Source organism: Homo sapiens, chromosome 14 (assembly GCF_000001405.40).
Source record: "Homo sapiens chromosome 14, GRCh38.p14 Primary Assembly".
Classification (NCBI taxonomy): Eukaryota; Metazoa; Chordata; class Mammalia; order Primates; family Hominidae; genus Homo; species Homo sapiens.
Window position 1 is genome coordinate 106,056,593 of NC_000014.9, and position 25,445 is coordinate 106,082,037.

The 25,445-nt window shown below is 39.6% G+C and overlaps 1 gene segment (V, D, J or C) and 1 further gene; both read right to left on the minus strand.

The window, feature by feature from the left end:
- The window catches only part of IGH (immunoglobulin heavy locus), a 1,293,408-nt gene that overhangs the window by 470,156 nt on the left and 797,807 nt on the right, over positions 1–25,445 (minus strand).
- Positions 5,557–6,012, minus strand: IGHV3-7 (immunoglobulin heavy variable 3-7). The segment is given in 2 exon segments: positions 5,557–5,863; positions 5,967–6,012. Coding segments are annotated over 2 exon segments (353 nt in total), but the record flags the coding sequence as incomplete, so codon positions are not given.

Consider the following 25,445-nt stretch of genomic DNA (forward strand, 5'->3'; position numbering starts at 1 on the left):
AGGTAAATTCTCAGATATTTCTGACTTTTAATGGATATTTTGTATCTTTATACCACCGCTTTTGGTCTAATTTTTCATTTGTTTGCTTGCAATAAATTTTGTGAGTGTTAATTGGCAGATAATACACTTCACGTATTTAAAGTGTAGAATTGAAAACATGATGTAAGCGTCATCATTACTGAGGTGGACAAGTGAGTTCCCCTCAACATTTTCTCTTGTTCTTCTGTATGTTTCCACATTTCCCCTTCCTTTATTCTACCCTTTTCCCAGGTAACTACTCATCTTTTGTATATTACTTTAGATTTTTTTCATTTGAAATAAATTACATAAATGGAGTAATATAGTACATATTCTTATTTGTCTGGCTTATTTTACTCAGCATAAATACTTAGATACTTTTCCTTGTTGTTCTGTGTACCAGAAATATATTTATTATAAATGTTGAGTAGTATTCCAGTGAAAAAATTTACCAGAATTTGTTTCTCTATTAGGCAGCTGAAAAATGTTTGGATTCTTTTATTATTCTGGATCTCACTAAAAAATATGCTGCTAAGCTTAAAAATGTACATAGATGAGAAATATATATATATACACACATATTTATTTATTTATTTATTTATTTATTTTTAGAGACAGAGTCTCACTCTGTCACCCAGGCTGGAGTGCAGTGGCGCGATCTCAGCTCACTGCAAGCTCCACCTCCCGGGTTCACGCCATTCGCCTGCCTCAGCCTCCCAAGTAGCTGGGACTACTGGTGCGCACCACCACACCTGGCTAATTTTTTGTATTTTTAGTAGAGATGGGGTTTCACCGTGTTAGCCAAGATGGTCTCGATCTCCTGACCTCGTGATCCACCCACCTCGGCCTCACAAAGTGCTGGGATTACAGGCATGAGCCACCGCACCGGGCCCATATATTCATTCTTACAACAATAGTATCAACAATAACAGATAAACAGAAAAGATGGAAGTTTGCAAATTTTACTTAATGCTTCAGATAATTGAGGGTTGAAAACAAACAAAATATTTGAAATCTAGGGAGAGGCAAGTTCCTGTAGAGAGTAATGAAGCCAGAGTATGAAATTCCCTGAGGCAGAGGCTGTCATATAAAATGTAGGCTATTACAAGATGAAGAACAAATATACACTGGATTGCTTGAAGTCGAGTGTGTTAGGCATGTTATAGTGAGAAATTCTAAGGGACCTCATACTGGAGAGTTGCCCTAATCTCTTGAATCATTTACCCCTGCAAAACATCTTCCTTTCCCATAGTATCTGTCTGGGAGAGAATGAGCTCACACTTCTGAAATGCATCCAGACCCAGTTCTCTGATCCCCACTACAAAACTAAGATATTACCCTGCAGGAGCAAGCCATGAAAATCAGCATCCTAGGGCACTGGTGCAGCCCCTTAAGAATTGAGGTATGAACAGAGGTTCCCATCAAAGCTCTATTGAGAAGCAGCTCCCCTCACTTTCTTACGGAATCAGAGCTTTAATCTGCAGGTCATGGCAGCAGATCTGGAAGTTGGGGACACCAACAGAGATTATGAGAGCTGTGGGAGGGAACAACTGGGGAAAACAAGAGGAATCTGCCCCAGGGGAAGGAGCAAGAACACACAGACCAGCATCTCATCTGGAGGAGGGTTGGGAACACTTGGAAAGTCAGCTCACACTCAGGATCACAATGATTTTCTGGAAATATGACCCCATGAGAGGTCAGAGACAATTCCTTTAGTATAATGTCTTCCACCAATTTCACAATTGGCAATTAAATATAACACTTTAATCCACCTTAAGAATCTGAAAGAGATTCTCTGTAGAATGGAATGATTGTGTATGAATCATGCCATGAAACTGTCTTCACGGTGACTGGATTTGCCTGTTGATTTTGACATGATGACCATGATGTTGATGACGAAGATGACATTCTCAGAAAAATAACCCAGGTTCAAAGAGCTAACTGCAGAGTCATATTTATGTTTGTTTTACTTCGGGACAGAAAGGGCGTGAGGTCTAAATAACGTAATAAATGGTCTCCTGAGGTTTGGATGCTGTTAAGCAAAATAAGACAACCCGAGGTGGCGGTCACAGGCTCCCTGGCTGGTTCCTCGCTGCCTCTGCTCCTCACTGAGGCTCTGTCTTGTGTGAGTTCTGAGCATCTCCTGCGGGTCCTCTGGTGCCCATCCAGCCCAGATAAAGGAGGGCTGGGGGTTCTGTTTCTCAGGTGCTCAGTCCTGTGCCTGGCTCCAGTTCAGGAGCTCAGCCTGTCCTGTGTGCTGAAGCTTTTAGCTCTCCCGTGCAACCTCGCCTGTACACTGAGTTTCTTCACAGCAAAGTGACAGGGTCAGCTTCACAGACATCGCTGCAGGCAATTTTCAGCAAATCTAATTTTAGTTTGACTATGTAATTCAGCAATCATGTTCATTGTGGTGTAAGTGACTGACATATCCACACACACACAAACAAACACACATGCACACACACACGCACACACACACACCCAAACTGCATGGACATTCATTTACATTTCCCCCAAACTGGACACATTTTGTATTATTCCTGATAAGTTCAGAAAGTTCTGAGGTTTTAATCATAAACTAAACATAACATTTTCCATAAACAAAATTAGTAATGAATAAGATGAGAAAATCGGGTCAGAAAAATCAAGATTGAGTTATTACCCGCAGTCTAATGGTGGTAAGTTACATAATGGAGCTGTGATGAGACAGGCTCCCAGGTGCTCTAATTCTTAACCACTCAATTACAGCTGACCAGTAATCTCCGAGAGTGAGGAAGCTAGAGGTTCCCCACATGGGAAAGCTCTCTGACTCCACAAAACTTCGCTGAGCTTCTCTGCAGGCTCAGAGGTGTGCAGACTCCTACCCCAGATTCTGCAGTCAGGCAAATCTCTGCTCTTTCCCAGGGGACACAAGAGATAGTGTGGGTAAGGGCCAGATGTGCTCTACTCAAGGTCTCTGCACATGGAGAAAAACCAGTGAATGTGGAAAATGCATCATCTCGATCCTTCGAACAATGCCTGTGAAAAACTCAACTCTGTGTCAGGACGTCATTCAGGATTAAGAAATAATGCAACTGAAGGAAATGTGAAAATTACAGTTGTTTGCAGGTGCACACTTGTTCATATATTTTCCAATAAAAATACAGCAAAAGCAGGGGTTCTCTATAAAAATTCACAAACAGTGTGCTGACCCTGAGAATGCACCTCCCTCCCTCCACATACAGGCAGCAAAATGCAGGTGGGTCAGGTTCCCAGCAGCTGCTTTCTGACATCTGTGGCATGGCGTGTGCTGAGGCCCATGTCCTGTGGTCTACTCTAATGAAAGGACTGACTCCACAGTGATTCCTAAGAAGAGCCCTTTCTTGGAGTCACAGGGATCCCCTGAGAGGTAGCACTGACTTACACGAGACTCAGTTATCTTTTGCAGCTTCCTTGCATAGCACAAAAATATAGGAACCTTCCTCCCAATCCTCCCTCCCTCTCTCCTCCAGTCAGGGACAAGCTTCCATCATACGCCATTAGCTTCCCAGCCTCATTCCACTCCCTGTGCATTTTCGCTCAAAGGGGTGAATGTACTTCTTATAAAAATGTAGGGAAACTTCATTCCATCTTGGGGTTTTCTGCTCAGAACACGAATAATAGCACAAATATTAGGAGAAAGGGGTCCCAATTTGGGGAAAATCCACAGATTAAAATGAAAACAAGTTTCTTATGCAAGTAAAATAATGAGACTGGCTACACCAGAGGTGGAGCAGCAGTATGGGCTGCTGGTTGTCCATTTTATGGTTATTTCTTGATTATATGTTAAACAATGGATGGATTATTCATGAGTCCTCCAGGCAATTCCTGAAGTTGAGTGTTCCTCCCCTCCTTTTTAAACCACACAAGGAAACTTCATGATGTTGCCTTGACAACTGTAAACTGTCTTGGGGCTGGAGGGAGTGTTTTTTAGCATGTTAATGCATTATAATTAGAGTATAATGAACAGTGAGGACAAACTGAGGTCATTTTAGCCACTGTCTCGGTTTTGGAGGGCTTTGCCCAGCTTCTTTACTGTAAGATTTATCTGCAAGGCCTTTATGACCTGGATCTTGTGCAGACCTCCTATCTCATCCTGTGACTAACTTACTGCATCAACTTACTAGGAATCCAGCCCAGCAGGTCTCGGTCTTATTTTTCCTAGCCCCTATTCAAGATGGAGTTGTTCCAGTTCCAAAGCCTCTGACACACTCAAAAAATGTAGCAAAAGTATTTATAATATGAGCATGATTATATTGCCAAATATAAAATATCATAATGACAACAATCAATTTTACCTGTCGTCTTGACTAGACCACAGTCTCATCTACTCAATCACACACTAGCTTAGGTGTTGCTCCCATGGCATGATACAGGTGTTAGGAGAGCTTGCCATTATGTTTTCCTAAGTCATGAAGAGTGTTCTAGATAAACTAGGTGGGGCTGATTCAATCACAGCATAACAGAAGATGATGGGACTCCACGGTGGATGGCAGATGCAGGTCTTCCCAGGAATTCCAGCCTGTCTTTCCTGAGGTCCAGAAGTATTGACCTTAGGCTGCCTAGCCAGACCCTACAATTACTGTTACCCAGAGCTCACCCACAATGGACTATCCATCATCAACTCTCCTCAAAGTTATAGGTGAGGGTCCAAACTCTGTGACAGTGTGAGAAGCACAAGTTCAGCTCTACATCAATATCCAATTGGAGAAAACTAGTATTATTCCCTTAATGACTAATGTCCACTTCATTTCCCAAATGCCTCCATGCACAGAAGACAACAGGAGTGTCCAGACAATGGTGAGTGAGAAAGTCTCCTCAGCCTACCCAGGTCCTGCAGACCTGAGCCCTGGGATTTTCCCTGAAAACAGAAAACACATCGTTTGTTCTCAGGGAAGAGAAGAAGAAAGCGAACTGTGAGAATCAAACCTACAGAGAAGCAAAATGGATTAGCAGAAAAAGGGTCAACTGAATCAGTCTGAGTTTACAAGACGAGGGGGGATAGCTGTGAAAACCATCAGGCTTTAAGGACCCCGACCCTGGGTGAGCCTGTCTCTTGGCTCCCATCAGAGCTCAAAGCCCGTTCTAATCAGAAATTCCCATGGAGGTCTCTGCCCTGAGTCTAATTGGAAAACACTCTCCAGGTTTCCCTGGGATTCCTCAGGACTCTCATCCTGTTGACCACGAAAGGATTATTTCTGCCCCCAAAGTGACACCCTGGCTTCTGTGGAGCTGAGGATATGTACTCCTGTTGCAAAAAAACAAAGAAACAAAAAGGACAAAAAAAGTATTGCATTTAGAGACATGAAATGTCAGTACAGAATTGTAAATCTGGAGAAGTTCCTGGGGAAATTTGACAACGAGGCAGCCCCAGACCGCGACAGGAAGCCAGCCCTCAGCAGCACCTGCACCTGCCCTGGAGACAGCCCCGTGCTCAATGCCCTGTCGCCCCCTGGTGGTCCCAAGGGACCCCTGCAGGGAGGTTTGTGTCTGGGCTCACACTGACTTCCCCTCACTGTGTCTCTCGCACAGTAATACACGGCCGTGTCCTCGGCTCTCAGGCTGTTCATTTGCAGATACAGTGAGTTCTTGGCGTTGTCTCTGGAGATGGTGAATCGGCCCTTCACAGAGTCCACATAGTATTTCTCACTTCCATCTTGCTTTATGTTGGCCACCCACTCCAGCCCCTTCCCTGGAGCCTGGCGGACCCAGCTCATCCAATAGCTACTAAAGGTGAATCCAGAGGCTGCACAGGAGAGTCTCAGGGACCCCCCAGGCTGGACCAAGCCTCCCCCAGACTCCACCAGCTGCACCTCACACTGGACACCTGCAAACAAAGAGACACCAAGGTCAGAAACTGCCACACAAATCCACTGTTTCTCACACTCATATCCACACACACTCAATCTTCCTAGTTTTCCATGAATCACCTTCTAAAATAGCAACAAGGAAAACCCAGCTCAGCCCCAACTCCATGGTGAGTCCTCTGTGCTCAGTGCTGATCACCAAGTGGAAAGGCCTTGGAGTCCAGGGCTAAGGCTCCTCTCTGAGACCTGCAGGGTCAGGGTTGGGTTGGTTTTCATCAGTAGAGGGAGGGCCCTATTTGCATGTCTCCTACTATATAAGAAGCTCTAGTGGGATGCTGGAGGAATAGGCTGTACCCATATAAGAAGACGGTGCTCTGCAGAAGTTTGCTGACAATGATGGTATTTGGAAAATATGCTGTCTTATGAAATTGTGCTGTGATAAACACTTTGCCCTGATCACCCTATTACATTTTTTAAAAAATGTGTAAATTATGCTCTGTAGGAGTCAGTATTTTCTCCTTTTACAGAAGTGGAAGTAAACCCACACATGGGGGGGCTCTGTATGCACCCAGGAGCTCATGTCTGGGATGAGTGAACGCTGCCATCTGGCCCTGTGCTTCTCGTCACTGGCTCTGACATCCCCCTAAACCAACTCCAGGACAAAGCTGTACATGCCCGGTGTGGTTTTCAGAAGCCACTTTCTGTAATAAGAGCATGTGTGGTTTTGCTGCTGTTCTGTGTGTCAGGCATTTATTTATTATAAATCATGGGTAGTATTCCAGTGAACACATTTACCATAATTTGTTTTTCTATTAAGCAGCTTAACAATATTTGAATTCTCTGTGACTCTGGGTCTTACCAAAAAACCTGCAACTCAGCTTCAAAATGTACATAGATGAGGAGTATATTTTACTTACTGTTTTACAGCATCAACATAACAGATAAACACAGGAGATGGAATTTTGCCAATTTTAAAATATACTTTAAATACTGGAGGTTTTAAGATAATCATCAAATCCGAAATTTAGGGAGAGACAAGTTCTTGCAGAGAGTAAAAAGGCATGGGTACGAGTTGAACTGAGGCAGAGTCTGGCATATAAAAATGTAGGCTATTATAAGAGAAAAAAATACATAGATACTGAATTGGTGAAGTCAAGTGTGGTAAATGTGTTGTAGCGTGAATTTCTCAGGGACCACATACTGAAGAGCTTTCCTATACCTTGAAACCTTTTTCCCAAAAATGGGGACAGTCACAAAAATCTTTTGTCCCAATGTGTCTGTCTGGGAGAGAAAAAGAGCCCACACTCTGAAATGCATTCAGACCCACCTCCTTAATCCCCATTGCAGAACTAAGAAATTACTCTGCAGGAGCAAGCCACCAAAGCCAGGATCTTAGGGGCACTGGGGCCATCCCTTAGGAACTGAGATGGAAAAAGAGGTCTTCACCTAAGTTCCATTGAGAAGTATCTCCCCTCCTTCTTATTTAATCAGAGCCTTAATCTCTAGGTCAGGTCATCAACTCTGGAAGCTGATAACACCAAAAGAGAACATTGGAGCTGTGGGAGGGAACAACTGGGGAAAACAAGAGGACTCCACAGCAGGGAAAACAGCAAGAACACACAGACCAACATCTCATCTGGCAGAAGTTCAGAAACACCGGCAATGTCACACCCAGACTCAGGGTCACAATGCCTTCGTAGAAATATAGACCCATGAAAGGTCAGAAAATCTCCCTTTATTCTATTGCCTTCCACCAATTTCACAATTGTCAGTTCAATATAATATCTTAACCCACCTGAAGGAGCTGAAAGAGATTCTCTGGAGGAAGGAACAGGGTGAAGAGACAAAGCCAAGCAGGAAAGAAAAACAAGGTATCACTGGAGGATCTGAAGTCTCTGGTGGACACAGAAGAACAGACTTCAACTATGACGTCTACTGCAAAAGTAAACGTCAAATGTAGCTCTGAGAAGATTCAAACATTTCCACATTAAAGGCCTGGCAAAAATAAAGTATGGTCAAATACAGGCAGAAAATGCATAAAATGAAGTAATAAGCCAATATCAACTGTCCAACCTAAAATATCTGGCTATCAACAAAGATTACATATATTAATGAGAAATACCAAAGTCATAATAAACAAATGATCAGAATGAGACTTCTATATGATATGGATCTTAGAACTATCTAATTAAACAAGATATATAAAGTAACTATAATTCATATGTAAAAATCTATTAAGGAAACTGTATACATAATGAAGGACTAGATAGGGAACTGAGAGTTGAAAATACTAAGAAAAAATCAAATGGAAATGCATAAGAAATCAAAAGCAATGCAGTATAAACATTGAGTAAGCTTTGGGCACACCCTTCAGTAGAGCTGGCTCACCTTTTAAATGAAACCACTCACTTAAAATACCACTAGAAATTTTACAGAGTAAAGTGCAAGGAAAAGAGAGTGAAGAAAGTAAACATTAATATTAAAAAGTATTGTATATGTACATTTTAAATCTGAAAGGAGAAATTGTAGATACAGAGACAGTATTTGAAAGAAATAATGGCTAAGAACGTTCCCAGTTTTGTGAAAGACACTGAACTACAGATCCTAGAATCACAGAGAACCTCAAGCAGAGTAAACAGAAATAGACACAGACACCCACACCACACATCCACCATGGACAGAGTGGTGCGCAAGGAAAAAGTCACACATCACACACCACGTACACATTTCCTCAACTTTATAGTTTTTACTTAGTTGTTTTAAAATTATTTGAATTTATGGTATTAAGTAGAAGTCTAAAATTAAAATATATCATTCTATGCATAAGCCTGTCTATTCTTACCATGATCAAATACACGGTTTGGTTCAAATGAATGTAACTACGTTGTTAGGAAATTCACATTTCAAAGAAAAATGGTATTTATTCCTGGCTCTGTGTTGAAGCATTTGTAATGTATGCAAATAAAATCTGTTTTAATTAAAGGATTTTTTAAAGTTAGCACATAATAACTGTATGGGGTACAGTGTGATATTTCTATGCATGTGTGCCATGTGGTATGATTAAATCAGAACAATGAACAAATTCATCAGCTTAGACACTAACATTTCTTTTTGTTGGTAACATACAAATTTCTGTCTTCTGGCTACTTGTAAACATAAAATGTGCACTATATTGTTAACAGCAGTCACCCTACTGCACTGTAGATCACTGGAGCACATCCCTCCTATCTGCCTGTAAATTATACGTTTGTTAACAAACCTCTTATTGTCTCTCAGTCTCCTCCCATTCCCGGCGTCTCATAACCACTACTCTATTATTTACTTCTAGAAGATCAACTTTTTAAAATTTCCACATAACACTGAGAAAATGCTGTATTTATTTTTCTGTGTCTGTCTTGTTTCACTCAACATGATGGTGTCCAGTTCCATCCATGTTGCTTCTAACAGCAGAATTTCATTTTTAAGACTGAACAATATTCCATTGTGTAAATATAACACATTTTATTTATCCATTCATCTGTTGATGGACACATATGTTGATTTCATATGTTAGCTATGGTGGATAGTGCTGCAATAAACATGGGTGTACATGTATCTCTTCAATATTAGTTTTTTACTTTAATGATTTAAATAGATACATACTCAGCAGTTGGATTGTGAATTATATGGTAGTTCTATTTTTTCCCATGATGGCTTCACTAATTTCCATTTCCACCAATGGTCTATAAGAGTTTCCCTTTCTATGAATCCTGGCCAGCTCCTGTTTTATTTATTTATTTATTTATTTAGATTTTCTGACTCTCAAGCAAAGATGAAGGATGAAAAGACATCTCATTGTGAATGTGCATTTTCCTGAATATTAGTGTTTTCTAGCGATATATGTATGTATACATACCAATATATCTATTTATCTATCTATCATCTATCTGCCCTTTTTCTTTTCTTCTTTTGAGAAATATGTATTAATGTTATTCCTCCATTATTAGCCACATTATTATTTGCAGTTGGGTTGAGTTTATTTTATATGCTTGATAGTAATCCCTTGTCATATGAATGGTTTTCAATATTGTCTATCTTCTGCAGGTTCCCTCTTAACTCAATTGTTTCCTTCACTGTGAAGGAGCTAAACTCTCTTGATAGAACCTGGACAGGTGGGCTGAGGTCCCAATGCTGTGGGACATTGGAGGGGAAGAGCTTGACCCAATATCCAGAACCAAGTGAGCTTTTACTCACCATGTGGTTTCTGAGTTTATGGTTTGAACAGATGCAGAAGAGTTTGTCATGGCATTCTGGGGGATAAAGAATTTGAAGAGAGAATGACATAATTTATTAGTCAAGTAAATAAAAATGTCATGATTTTCCATATGTTCTTGTGAGTGGGGGTAGCTCAGCAGTGTGTGTTCATCTCCAGAAAAGAGAAAATTATGTCTGCTGTGAAAAGAATGCATAGCTTTTGACATATGTGGTTGTTATATAACAACTGAGCCTGGATATTAGGTCATGTTATAATGCTAGTGGGAAGACTCAGTAGAAGAAAAAGTGTCATAGCAACAAAAAATGAAGCATCAAAGATTTAAATAAAAAGGGTTTTTGAATATCACTAGTAATGAATATGCTGAGAAAAATCAATTACCATAATCAGAATAATAATTCGTGACCGCCCATAGGATTCATGCTGAGATGATATAAAATTTCCATTAAATGGCTCATCACCACCCTCATAAAATGGTTCAGACAAGAAATTCAGAACAGTGTGACCTTACAGCCAGTGGAGGCCAAACCTTTGAGGAGAGGGAGAGTCTGTGTTAGAATTGTGAGAAATAGAAACCTGAACTCTGCGGAGAAGCAACAGTGATCAAAGGCAGTGCCGAGTCCACTTGAGTTTAGTGGTGAACACAGTAAAGATGGGTTTCTCTGCCCTCATTCAGTTTTTGTTCTCGACACTCTCTTGGAAGCTCAGTTGTGAACATTGGGAATCTTCCTAAAACTCAATTACAGCAAAAGCAATTTTTCACTGAAGAAAGAGGTAACAACATGGGGGTAAGTAAATTTGGGTTATAAAAATTAGTTATTGAAACCTCAATGTAAGTCTCTAGTAATTTAAATCATAAAATGTTCAGCCTCATCAATGGAGTCCTCTTATCTTGTCAGAGATGAGTGTCCATGTGGGCACGTCGCGCAGTCATGGAGGCCGGGGAGATGGTCTGTCCAGGCTTTCCTGGTCCTTCAGAGGAGAAGTGCAGAGTCGTCTCCTCTCCTGCTCCCACCTGTTTTCATATCTGTGTGTGACCCTTGAGCATGTCATTTCCATGCGCTTGCATAATAGGAGTCAAATGGGGCATGAAGCTGACATGCTGGGTGTATCATTGTATAATTGGGGAAAGAAACTGCCTGCATACATGAACTCTTGCATTATCCAGGCCTGGAGCCTCTCACATCTACACTTTGCATTTTATTAATGATTTCCTGTGTTGTTTAGTCAGTTAAAATGTTCTTTTTAACTTTCTTCTGAAATAGCTTTACACAATAATCTAGAGGCATAAAGATTATGTCTCACATAATAATCTAGAGGCTTAAAGATTAAAGACAAACTTAAAACTTATTAAAGAATAACTCACCAAGTTCCAGTTGTGGTCATAGTTAGTTTGTGGTGATTGTGAGACAGGGAGAAGCATGGCTGGAAACTATGACTGTGCTCGTAAATGCTTCATGTTAACGGGGAAGACACTGTACACCCAAGAGATTTAGACACTGCCACTGAGAACCTCTACCTAATATTATATGTTATGAATCACACCTCAATAATAAAACTCTAGGTTAATGACAAAATTGCTCTTACTAATATAAGATTTCCTTTAGAACACAGTCCTCTATCTGATGTAAAATCAGCACAGATGGCAGAAGAGATTGCATTTATTAGAAGTGCCAATTTGTTAAACTAGGAAATAAACATGTTTCAGGGCAGTGCATGGGTTCGGGATGCTTTGAAAAAAAAAAAAAAGCATCTCACACATTCTGGAAAACCCACCAAAATGGGCAAGTTAGGGAACGTTTACAGGCACTCCTTTTCCCCAGATTCCTGGCAGATATAAAGGTAGAAGTCAATGCAAAAAGAGGTAACATTGAAGCTAAGAAAACTGCCATACCAGATCATATCCTCAAAAGGTAAAGCTGCTGAGTCACAGATATTATCAAAAATATCAATGCTGAGCCGCTGATCTTAAATAAAAATGAGTGAAAATACATAGTTACCATATTTGCTTAATTTGTGCCAGATCATTTCAAATATGTATTTGTTGCATTTCAACTCTACAATTTATAGAAAAATTGGTTACCAGATTAAATAAACAGTTTGCCACTTGGACACATTTATGTAAACTTTCCTCAATTTCCACACTTAATGGGATATGAATGTATTTTATTTATCATCTATCTGTGTTCTCTGTGTCTTCCAATAATTCCTTGACAAAGGCTACAGCTCTTTCAGTTGATTAAAAGCTTCTATATTTTCTGTTTTTAGCCTGTGACCTGCCAGGTTTTTGCATGAACCGAGTGAAGCACACTCATGAAAGGAACTATTATAAAATGATTCTGTGAGGCAGGGCTGATACTAAAATATGGCATTGTTATAACCTCCCACAGTCTTCCACATAAGTTTAAAAGAATGGTATTCTTACATTAAAATTATCAGTTTTAAGAAACCCTTGAACTCCCTTGTCTACATGTACTCCTACCAGCATTGTGGCATTATGGTCCTCTGTCTCAAGGATGTATCTGTTATTTTCCTATGACTTGGTAGCTGGAAAAATACACACTTGGAAATTTTACCTCCAGTACTAGCCTTTGACCTATTGTATTTGGATGAAGCAGAGCACTCAAAGAGATTCATGTATTATGCTCACTCCTATCAGCAAAAGATTAAAGCTGCCATTCCAGTTGTGTTTTTAACAGCCTTTTACTATCTTTAGCCAGGAAAATTTATACATTGGAAAAAATTTAGAGAAAAACTTCCCTTGAAACACTGGAAGGAAGCTTGTTAGATATTTTTGTCAACACAGCAGTAAAACTCCACGGAGTCAGTCCCAGGGATTATGTTTTATAACGTGAATAAGGAGTTAAAAATTCCACACAATTGGAACGCTACTCCATAGAGGGGATTTTGACCTATTTAATTTATATACCAACCTTCACTTAAAGGCACTCTCCTATGGTTTTCCAAACTTAAGCAAATCTCTGTAACCTGCTGAAGTCTCCTCAGTGCACTTTGTCTCTAGATAGCCACACGTGAAAAAGCAAATTTTGTGTATTTGTGCATGAGTGATCTGGACACACCCTTGGTATTTTAACTGAATTTCATGGAAACATGATTACTGACTGTGAACTCATATTTAATGGCATTCAAAAATGCATCACCCTTGTGATGTGGTGGAAATTGGTGCCTGTGAGAAATATGCTGATGCTTCACTTGAACAAGTTCTAGACCCCTCCCTTGACTTCATGGTTCCTCACTCGGTACAGATGTGTCTATGAGCAAAACCCAACACTGATACAGATATCCAGCACTTTCTCCTGTTGAGAAAATTATTTTTTCTCTTTCTAGGCCTGACTCTCTCTCTCTCCCTCTCTCTCTGTCTTGCCTTTTCATTATGTTTTTTGCCATATCATTCTGAAACCTCCCAACAGTATGCATCATGAATCATGCCAATTTCAAGCCTCAGAAAGAAAAAGGTGCAAACTCATAATTTCCTGAACAAGGTTAGAAAACTTCCTGCATTTCCACCAGATCCATTAGAGACTCCCAATGAGAATCATGGTCAAACATTATTTGTTTCTGGATTATACATCAAAACCGAAACTGCTTTTTTAATGTTTACTCCATTTGTGTTTCCACTATGTGCAAAGTAGTATGAAGATTCCAAAATAAATTAAAAACAGAAATACCTTATGACTTGGCAAATCCTCTTCTGGGTATGTTCTAAAGAAGATAAAACCACCACCACCTCATGAAGGCATGTGCACTCCCATGTTCTTTGCAGCTCTTTCACAATAGCCCAGATGTGAAAGCACCTCAGTGTCTGTAGGTGGACAAATGGATAGAGTAAATGTAATCTATGTATGCGATAGGATATTATTCAGCCATGAAACCCAATATTCTGTCATTTGCTATAATATGAATGGAACTGGAAGTCATTATGTTAAGATAAATAAGCCAAGAAAAGAGAGACAAATATTGCATCTTCTTATTTTACGTCAAAACTAAAATACTGGATCGCCTGAAGATAGAATAGACTGTTGCTTACCAGAATCCTGGATGGATAGAAGAGAGAAGGAGATAAGGAGAGGTTGATTACTGTATACAAATATACATTTATAGAGGAGAAATAAGACCTAAATGTTTGATAGATCAGTAAGGTCACTATAGTTAATAATAATCTAATGCACAACATTAAAATAGTGAAAGGAGTCATTCAAATGTGCTCAGCACAAGGAAAGGGTACATTTTTAATGTGACAGATATGTAAATCTTACACTAATCTTTACACATTTATAAATGTATCAATATATTACATGTTCCCATAAAATAGGTATATCTACTATATGCCAATAAAATAAATAAATAATCTCCATGGCATGATTTTACAAAATGTTTTTAAAAAGCTCCAATTTATATAAAAATATAAAAGACTTCAAATAGCCAAATTAATTTTGGGCATAAATAACAAAGCTGAATATATCATAATCTATAATTTCAAAATCGAATCTATATAAATCAAAATGTTATAATGCTGGCATTTAAACAGACATATAATCCAATGAAACATTAAACACAACCTGGCAACCAACCCATTTCTTCCCAATAAACTGATCTTTGTCAAGTTCCCAAGACACACAGTAGAGAAAGGACAGTCTCTTCAACGAGTGGTGTGAAAAACGGGTATCCATATGCAGAAGAAATAGATAGAACTCACCTCACACAATACACAGAAATCAGCTAAAAATGGATTCAAGAGTTACACAAAGACCTGAATATGTGGTACAAAGGTATCCATGTATGGTTTGGAACAAAATGTGAATTATTACAGCCAGTATGAAAAACAACATGAAGATTACTCAGTGAACTGGACATAGAGCATCCCCACTTCTGAGCATACATCTAGAGAAAATAAACTGAGTGTGACAAATCTATGTCCATTGTGAGATTATTCATAATAGTCTAGATAAGGAAAACGAGTCAATGTCCATCTACGAATGAACAGATAAAATGTGGCTTATACCTACATAAAACTGAGTATTATTCAGCCTTTAAAAACAAAGAAATTCTTATATTTGCAACAAATAGAGAACATTATGCTAAGTGGAATAAGCCAGACACAGAAAGACAAAAGCTGCATGATCTCATTTATATATAGAATTATATATTGAATATTTTATATTCAAGCTCTTGGAAGCAGAGTAGAATAGTAGGTCGCAGGGGCTGGGAGGAGGAAAAAATTGGGTATTGTTGGTCAAAGGGTAAAAACTTCCCGTTATGAAGGTTAATGTGGTTTGGCTCCGTGTTCCGACTCAAATCTCATGCCAGATTGTAGACCCTGCATGTTGAAGGAAGGGCCTAAGATAAAGTGATCAGGTCATGGGATTGTCTTCCTCTTCGCTGTTCTCGTGATAAAGTTCTCAAGAGATCCGATGGTTTAAAAGTGTGGCACCTCCCCGCTCACTTGCTCTCTCTCTCCTGCCACCATGTGAAGAAGGTTCTTGCTTCCCGTTCACCTTCCACCATCATTGTTCGTCCTGATGCCTCCCAATAATGCTTCCCATTTAGCCTGCAGAACTGAGAGTTAACTAAAACTCTTCTCTTCATAAATTACCCAGTCTGAGGTAGTCTTTATAGCAATGTGAAAATGGACTAATACAGAAAACTTGCACCAGGAGTGGGATACTGCTATTAAGATACTTGAAAATGTGGAAGTGACTTTGTAACTGGGTAATGGGCAGAGGTTGGAAAAGCTTGGAGTGCTCACAAGAAGACAGGAAGATGTGGAAAAGTTTGAAACTGCCTAGAGGCTCGTTGAATGGGTTTTATCAAAATGCTGATAGTGATATGGGCAATGAAGTCCAGTCTGAGGTGGTGTCAGATGAAGGTGAAGAACTTATTGTGAACTGGAGTGACGGTCACACTTGCTATGATTTAGCAAAAAGACTAGTGGCATTTTCCCCCTGCCCTAGAGATCGGTGAAATGTTGAGCTACAGAGACATAATTTAAGGTATATCTGGCAGAAGAAATTTCTAAGCACCAAAGCATTGAAGAGTTGACCTGGCTGTTTCTGAAAACAGAAGCCATGTGCATTCATAAAGAGATGGTCTGAAATTGGAACTTATGTTTAAAAGGGAAGCAGAGCATAAAAGTTTGATAAAATATTGCAGCCTGTCCAAGTGGTAGACAAGAAAAACTCATTTTCTGGGGAGAAATTCAAGCTGGCTGCAGAAATTTGCATAAGTAACAAGGACCCCAGTGGGAAAAAATGTCCCCAGGGCATTTCAGAGATCTTTATGGCAGCCCCTCCCATCACAGGTCCAGAAGCCCAGGGGAGAAAAATGGTTTCATTGTCCAAGCCCAGGATGCCACTGCTCTGTGCAGCCTTGGGACATGGCGCCTTGCATCCCTGTCTGTCCTGTGCCAGCCATGGCTAAAAGGGGTCAAGGTCCAGCTCAGGCCATTGCTCCAGAGGGTGCAAGCCCTAAGCTTTGGTTGCTTCCACGTGGTGTTGAGCCTGCTGGTGCACATGAGGCAAGAGTTGAGGTTTGGGAACCTCCTCCTAGATTTCAGATGATGTATGATAATGCCTGGATATCCAGGCAGAAGTCTCATGCAGGGGCTGAGCTCTAATGGAGTACCTCTACTAGGCCAGTGTAGAAGGAAAATATGGTGTTGGATCCCCCACACAGAGTCCCCACTTGGGCACTGTCTAGTGGATCTGTGAGAAGAGGACCACTGTCCTTCAGACCCCAGAATGGTAGAACCACCAGCAGCTTGTATGGTGTGCCTGGAAAAGACATAGCAACTCAATGCCAGCCTATGAAAGCAGCTATGGGGAGTCTAACATGCAGAGCCACAAGGGTGGAGCTTCCCAAGGCCTTGGGAGATCACCTCTTACATCAGCGTGTCCTGGATGTGAGACATGGAGTAAAAGGAAATTTTTTTGGAGCTTTAAGATTTAATGACTGCCCTGCTAGTGTTTGGACTTGCATGGGGCCTGTAGCCCATTTGTAGTGGCCAATTTCTCCCATTTAGAATGGGAACATTTACCCAGTGCATTCATCTCATAGTATCTTGGAAGTAACTAACTTGTTTTTTATTTTACAGGGTTATACATCCAAGAAACTTACCTTGTCTCAGAGGAGACTTTGGACTGTAGAAGTTTGTGTTAATGCTGAATTGAGTGAAAACTGGGAGACTGTTGAGAAGGGATAATTATATTTTGCAATGTGAGAGGGATATGAGATTTGTGAGTGGCCGGGTATAATGATACTGTTTGGCTCAGCGTTTCCATCCAAATCTCATGTCAAATTTTCATCCTCAAGTGTTGTAGGAGGGGTCTGATGAAGAGTGACTGAATCATGGAGGCGGCTTTCCCCTTTGCTCTTCTTGTGTTAGAGTTCTCACAAGATCTCGAGGTTTAAAAGTGCGGCGCATCTCCCCTTGCTCTTTCTCTCTTTCCCCTGCCAGCATGTGAAGACGGTCCTTGCTTCCCCTTCACTTTCCACAATTATCGTAATTTTCCTGATGCCTCCCTATAAGGCTTCCTGCTAAGCCTGCAGAACTGTGAGTCATCTAATTCACTTCTCTTCATGTATTTCCCAGTCTCAGGTAGTTCTCTAAAGTAGTTTGAGAATGGACTGATACACAGGTTGAAGGAGTTCTGGAGATGAAACATACAGCAATGCAACTATACTAATGAATATTATATTATAAACTTATCTGTTTCCAGAAGAGTAGATCTTAGGTGTTTTTATCACAGACTCACAATAAATTAAAGGCATAAAATGATATTCTCTGAGATGATAGGCATGCCAATTACCTTGATCACGATGAACATGTGCCCAAGTATATCAATACCTTAAGTGGTGTACCTTAAATACATACAATTTTGTTTGTCAGTTATAGCTCCTTAAAGCTGAAAAGTTATAATGCATACTTATATTTCTACATATTTTATCAATAAAAATGGGAGAATATAAGCAAAAGAACTTGTACGACGATATTTATAACAGGTTTGTTTACAATATTTATTTTGGAAACAAATTTAAATTCCATCAACAGGAAAATAGATATATGTACTGACACTTATTCACTTAATGAACTGATTTCCTTACTTAATAAACTGTCGTTTATTAACGTAATGGACTGATTGAGATATGAAATAGCTAGATGTGCATGAGTACATACATATGTATATATATGATGACAAAACCTAGATAGATGCAAATACATGAATGAACCTCACAAATACCAAAAGTAGCCCCTTACAAAAAATGAACTATAATATTGATTCCATTTATGTGATGCTCAAAACAGGAAAAAATGGACCTATAGTGACAGAAACCAGAACATTTTTCTATTTGCATTCCTCTGATGATTAGTGATGCTAAATATTTTTAAAATACATTTGCTGGCCACTTGTATATATTCTTTTGAGAAGTGTCTGTTTGTGTTATTTTCCCAGGTATCAGTCTGTTTTCAAACTGCTAGTAAGGACATACTGAAATCTGGGAACAAAAACAGGTTTCATTGGAATTACAGTTCTGCATGGCTGGGAGGACCTCAGAATCATGGTGGGAGGTGAAAGGCACTCTTTACATGGTGGTGGCAAGAGGAAATGAGGAAGAAGCAAAAGCGGGAACATCTGATAAACCCATCAGATCTCATGAGAGTTATTCACTATCACGAGAATTGCATGAGAAAGACTGGCCCCCATGATTCAATTACTTCCCCCTAGATCCTTCCTACAACATGTAGGAATTCTGGGATATAAAATGCAAATTGAGATTTTGGTGGGGACACAGCCAAACCATATCAGCCCATTTTTAAAGGGGTTATTTGTGTTTTGCCTCTGATTTGTTTAAGTTCCCTATAGATTCTGGATATTAGTGCTATGTTGGATGCAATGTTTGTGAATATCTTCTCACATTTTGCAGGTTGTCTGCTTATCTGCTGAAGTTTTGGTTGCTTGTGTGTTTGTTTTGCTGTGCAGTAACTCCTTAATTAATTAGGTCCCACTTGCCTATTTTTGTTTTTCTTGAAATTGCTTTTGGATACTTAGCCAAAAATTCTTTGTCAAAGCTGGTGTCAAGAAGAGTATTTCCTAGGTTGTCTTAAAAGATTTTTATGGTTTGTGGTCTTACATTTAAAATTGTGGTCAATTTTGAGTTAATTTTATGTGTGTTGAAAGTAGACGTCCAGCTTCAATCTTCATCATACGGATAGCCAGTTGCCCCAGCACCATTTATTGAACAGGGAGTCCCTTCCTCATTGCTTGTTTTTGTCAGTCTTATCAAAGATGAGATGACTGTAGGTGAGAAGCCACACACCACTCAGAATGGCTATCACTAAAAAGTCGAAAAACGATGGATGCTGGTGGGGCTGTGGAGAAAACAGAACACTTATACACTGTTGATTGGAATATGAATTAGTCTTACCACTTTGAGAACCAGACTGGAGATTTCTCAAAGAACTTAAAACAGAGATATCATTTTACCCAGCAATCCCACTACTGGGTGTACACTAAAAAGTAAGCAAACAATTCTACCAAAAAGACACATGCACATCTATGTTCATTGCTGTGCTATCCATAGTGGCAAAGACAACCCAGATACACACCAATGGTAGACTGAATATACAAAATGTGTTACATCTACAATATATAACACTACACAGCCATGAAAAATAATATAGTCATGTCCTTTCCAGCAAAATGATTGGAGCTGGGGGCCTGAAACCTAAATAAATCAATGCAGGAGTAGAAAACCGAATACCACATAATCTAAGTGGGACCTCAGCATTGAGCATTCATGGACATAAATGTGCGAATGATAGACACTGTGGACTGCTGGAGAGTGGAGGGAGGGGGTGATGGAATCTGGATTCCAAACCTCAGCATCACTCAATAATCCCATGTGACAAGTCCACACATATGCCCTCTGTATCTGAATGAAAACTTGAAATTAAATAAAAATCCTTATGTGAGAGCTGACTGGAAGCACCAAAGAGGACACTTGTTGTGGAGATTGACCTGCTCCTCATCCTAACTTAGGTGCTGGAGACAAATGTGTGCACATATGTCAGACACCTGAAACTGTACATTGAAGATGTATGCAATTTTGTATACATTAATTTTATCTCATAAAAATAGAAAAGACAATTGTAAGAAAATATTTTATATCAAAATCAAAATCTTAATGAAATGGATATGAAAATTCAAATATAAAATGTGAGATTATTACAATAATTATTAAAATACCTTCAGCTATATCTACTAGAATAAAATCCCAGAAACAAGAAAGATAAAAGTGACATCTTAAAATGAAAAATTAATAAACACACATTTCACAAATAAGTAAAACATGGCTAAAAATATGTGGAACATTTTATATTATTAGTCATACAAAGTTATTCAGCTGAAGTTGCTTATCAGCTTAAGGAGATTTTGGGCTGAGACTATGGGGTTTTCTATATATACAATCATGTCATCTGCAAACAGGGACAATTTGACTTCCTCTTTTCCTAATTGAATACCCTTTATTTCTTTCTCTTGCCTGATTGCCCTGGACAGAACTTCCAATGCTATGTTGAATAGGAGTGGTGAGAGAGGGCATCCCTGTCTTGTGCCAGTTTTCAAAGAGAATTCTTCCAGTTTTTGCCCATTCAGTATTATATTGGCTGTGGGTTTGTCATAAATAGCTCTTATTATCTTTAGGTACATCCCATCAATACCTAATTTATTGAGAGTTTTTAGCATGAAGTGTTGTTGAATTTTGTCAAAGGCCTTTTCTACATCTATTGAGATAATCATGTGGTTTTTGTCGTTGGTTCTGTTTATATGCTGGATTACGTTTATTGGTTTGCGTATGTTGAACCAGCCTTGCATTCCAGGGATGAAGCCCACTTGATCATGGTGGATAAGCTTTTTGATGTGCTGCTGGATTCAGTTTGCCAGTATTTTATTGAGGATTTTTGCATTGATGTTCATCAGGGATATTGGTCTAAAATTCTCTTTTTTTGTTTTGTCTCTGCCAGGCTTCGGTATCACGATGATGCTGGCCTCATAAAATGAGTTAGGGAGGATTCCCTCTTTTTCTATTGATTGGAATAGTTTCAGAAGGAATGGTACCAGCTCCTCCTTGTACCTCTGGTAGAATTCGGCTGTGAATCCGTCTTGTCCTGGACTTTTTTTGGTTGGTTAGTTACTAATTATTGCCTCAATTTCAAAGCCTATTATTGGTCTATGCAGAGATTCAAATTCTTCCTGGTTTAGTCTTGGGAGGGTGTATGTGTCCAGGAATTTATCCATTTCTTCTAGATTTTGTAGTTTATTTGCATAGAGGTGTTTATAGTATTCTCTGATGGTAGTTTGTATTTCTGTGGGATCGGTGGTGATATCCCCTTTATCATTTTTTATTATGTCTATTTGATTCTTCTCTCTTTTCTTCGTTAGTCTTGCTAGTGGTCTATCAAGTTTGTTGATCTTTTCAAAAAAACAGCTCCTGGACTCATTGATTTTTTGAAGGATTTTTTGTGTCTCTATCTCCTTCAGTTCTGCTCTGATCTTAGTTATTTCTTGCCTTCTGCTAGCTTTTGAATGTGTTTGCACTTGCTTTTTTAGTTCTTTTAATTGTGATGTTAGGGTGTCAATTTTAGATCTTTCCTTTGAATAAAGTAGGAAAATATAAAAAAAATAAAAAATGGAAATAGACATTTTTAAATAGAAATTATAAAAAACTTCCTTGGCCACGTGTTCTCCTGCTAGCATGTGTGGCATCACATTTCACTCCTTGGGGCACGTCAGTTATTAGCCTATGAATTGTATCTGGGAGGCCCATACATTCAGAGATTTGACTCTCATCACTCACCTTTTTCCTGCTGCATGCATGTGTTACAAAATATAGAAAGTGATTCCTGTATTATATACACTCGAATCACCAACAGTTTACGGCTGCCTTTTTACTGTATCTTTTTAACAGTTTCTTGTGAACTTCAACCAGAAAATCATTTCTATTGGAAGAAACATTAGGGAAAAACACTGCTCTTCAGCCACATTGGAAGGAATCTTATAAGGTACTTTTAACCACAGCACTGCAGAAAAAATCCAGGGAATCAATTATTGGATTCATACTTTATAACAAAAAAATCAGTGCAGACTACTGGATGAGGTGGCTTACACTTGTAATCCCAACACTTTGATGGGCCAAGCCTGGAGAATTGCATGAGACCAGGTGTTCAAAAGCAGGTTGGGCAACATAGAGAGACCCTGTTTCTATGAAAAAATGAATAAAAAGGAATCAGCCAGGTGTAGATGAAGGGCCCTCTAGACCTAGCTACTTGCTACTCAGGAGGCTGAGGTGGAAGGATTCTATGAGCCAGGAATTTAAAATCAGAGAGCTATGATCACACCACTGCAGTCCAACCTGTGCTACAGAGTGAGAACTCATCTTAAAAAAAAGAATTAAGAATTTTACACAATTGTAAAGCTACTCAAATAGAGGAAGTTAAACTGTGCATCCTCACATATCCTCTGGAACTTCTGATATTTTGAAGAAGACAGGTGACCTAAGACCTTCAGAATAAGCTGATGATCTCGAATCATGAAAAGCTTCCACACAAGATATTGGACCAGAATCCTTCTCATATCCTCCTTCTACTCATTATTCTTTGCTTATAAACAGTCTTCTCATTTTCTGCAGACCTGGTTGTTGTCCACCCATATTGGAATCTTGTCTCTTTTCTTCCTCATTATTTTTATACTTGCTATTTAGAGTAAGTCATCAGGTTCTATTTTTATGCCTGATTGCTAATAGCATAAGGCTCTTTCCTCCATCATCTCTCTTTCTTTTAAAGCACACAGGATAAATCTAGTTAGAAATCACAGGAGCTCCCTTATTTGATGCCAAATTGACCTTGAAACCCCACAAAACCCTTCCTGCCAGTAGGATGCCCACACCACAAAATCATGATAACAACCCTGAGCCAGTCTCCTTCCCTGCTTTATCAAGCCACTTTGGACCTTAATGAGAGACCTGCCCTGCTCTCAGCAGACACCTTAAGGATGCAGGTAACTATCCTTACCATACTCACTTGGTGTGAGTGTGTGGCATAATCAGACTCAACATCCACAGAAAATTTTAGTTGAGATCTCTTGGCATTTGCATGGTGTCAGCTACAATGGATGCTGGGAGCTTGGTGTCATGGCTCCTTCCAAAGGACATGCCTGCTCCCTGAGTTAACTCCAGGACGCAGTTGGACATGCCTCCTGGGGTTTGAGAAGCTCCTTTCATGAACTGTAATCCTGTCATTATGTTTTTGTATTCTAGTGTCTCCCTAAAAGTAGAGCGAGACCCAGGGTTCATTCATGTGTGTATTCAGGAGTCTCTGACTTTTACGTATTTTATTAATCTCTCTCTAGCACCTTTTCTAACAAATTATACATTTTAAAATTTGCAATGTTTTAATGAGGTGAAATTAGCAAATAATAATCTTTACGTAAAGTGGACAATTTTACAAATATTGACATAATCCTCACTTTTACTAACACAGAAAAAAATCAGTTACCCTAGAAATTTCCTTTTGCTCTTCTGTAGTTTCTCTTTTCCACACCTTCTCTTCTTGTACCACATCCACAGTCAACTACAGACCTTTTTATTTAAGTTCATTTTTACTTCAGAGAAATTATAGAAGTGGAATTGTATGTATGCACTTTTATTTGTTTGACTTATTTTACTTATTCAGGTACTTGTTATTTTAAGCATGGTGTTGAGTGTATCCAACAGTACTTGATTGTAACAGTGGGTATTATTCCAGTAAATGAATTTTCCACAACTTGTTGACCTCTTAAGCTGCTGACTAACACCTGGATTACTTTTGCTCTCTGGTTGTAATAAACAAAGCTGCTACTTAACTTAGAGAAGTGCCCAGCTGAGAAACACATGGTTCTTATTTTCACCACAACATAAATGGGAGGCAAAGCAGAAAAGCTGCATATTAATCAGTTTGCTTCAATACATCAGATAATTAAAGTTGGGAAGCTCTGTGTGTGTGTCAGTTCATGTGTGTTTGTGTGACAGAGAGAGAAGGGAGGAGGAGAGACCAAGAAAAAGGGAAACCTTACATGTTTGGACTGTAATGTTTGAGGTACTCAAGTGAATACAGGGACTTATTGCTTGATGGACAAGGGCCACATGAGATGGCGAGGACCACTCAATGCACCTTCATATGGGTATATATTAGTATTTACATAAATGCCATTTTATAATCATATAAACACTCAGATACATTAGAAGAGATGTAGTGGAGGGTGTCTGTTGGTGAAATATGATGACGAAAACAACCCACATCTACAGCCCCTTTTCTGCCCTCTTGCACCTGTCCCAATGCTGAGCCTTGATCCTGCTCATCCTGATCCCCGACAATTATCCTAAGTCCCCATGCTGCCCCGAGTGCCCCCTGCTGGTCCTATGCACCCCTGCAGGGAGATTTGTGTCTAGGCTCATAATGAAGTCCCCTCATTGTGTCTTTTGCTTAAAAATGCGTAGTTGTGTGTTCACTGGGCACAGAGCTCAGCTGTAAGAACTGTTTCTTGGATCTGGATATGGACTCTTGAGAAGTGGTTGTAATTTGTCCTCCCTTCACAACCCATGCACCTGATCCACTCCTGTCCATCTAGGGGCAAGCAGATATAATTTAGCAGGAAGCACTGGTTATGATGGGGAATCCAGAGACAGTGCAAGTGAGGGAGAGGGTCTGCAAGGACGTCTCAAGCCAGAAGTGTGCTGAGAAACATAGTTGTTGATGTTAACAGGTTCTGGGCAACACAGTGAAATTCCCAAAACCACACATTTTTATGAGAATAAAGAGCTCACTTTGTCCAATTTGTGAGTCTCCTAGAACAATTCAGTAGATTTCGAGGTTAGGTTAAAAAGTATTATCAGATGTTCCTTTCCTCAAACTTGTAACCAAATAAAAAAGAGAAACTGCCGTTAGAAAAATGAACCTTGAATTGTTACCATGGTGTGTGATAACGATGATTTTTAGAATATGATTGACCTGTGATAACCTGAAGACTGTCCTAATTCCGAGCCACAATTAGACCTGAGCAGCAATCACAGGGAGTGAAACACCTGACTCAGTGAAGCTGCACCTGGGGGTCTCCGCAGGCCCTGAGTGGTACAGGAACAGCTCCTCCCTCAGACTCAGTCTAAGGAGAACTTCTGCTCTTTATCTGGGGAGGTGAGGGTGAGTGCGTGGAAAGTACCAAACTTGCTCTAATCAAGATCTCTGCACATGGGGAGAACCAAAGTATACGAGAAACAACTGGTTTCAGTTTAGGTCGAAC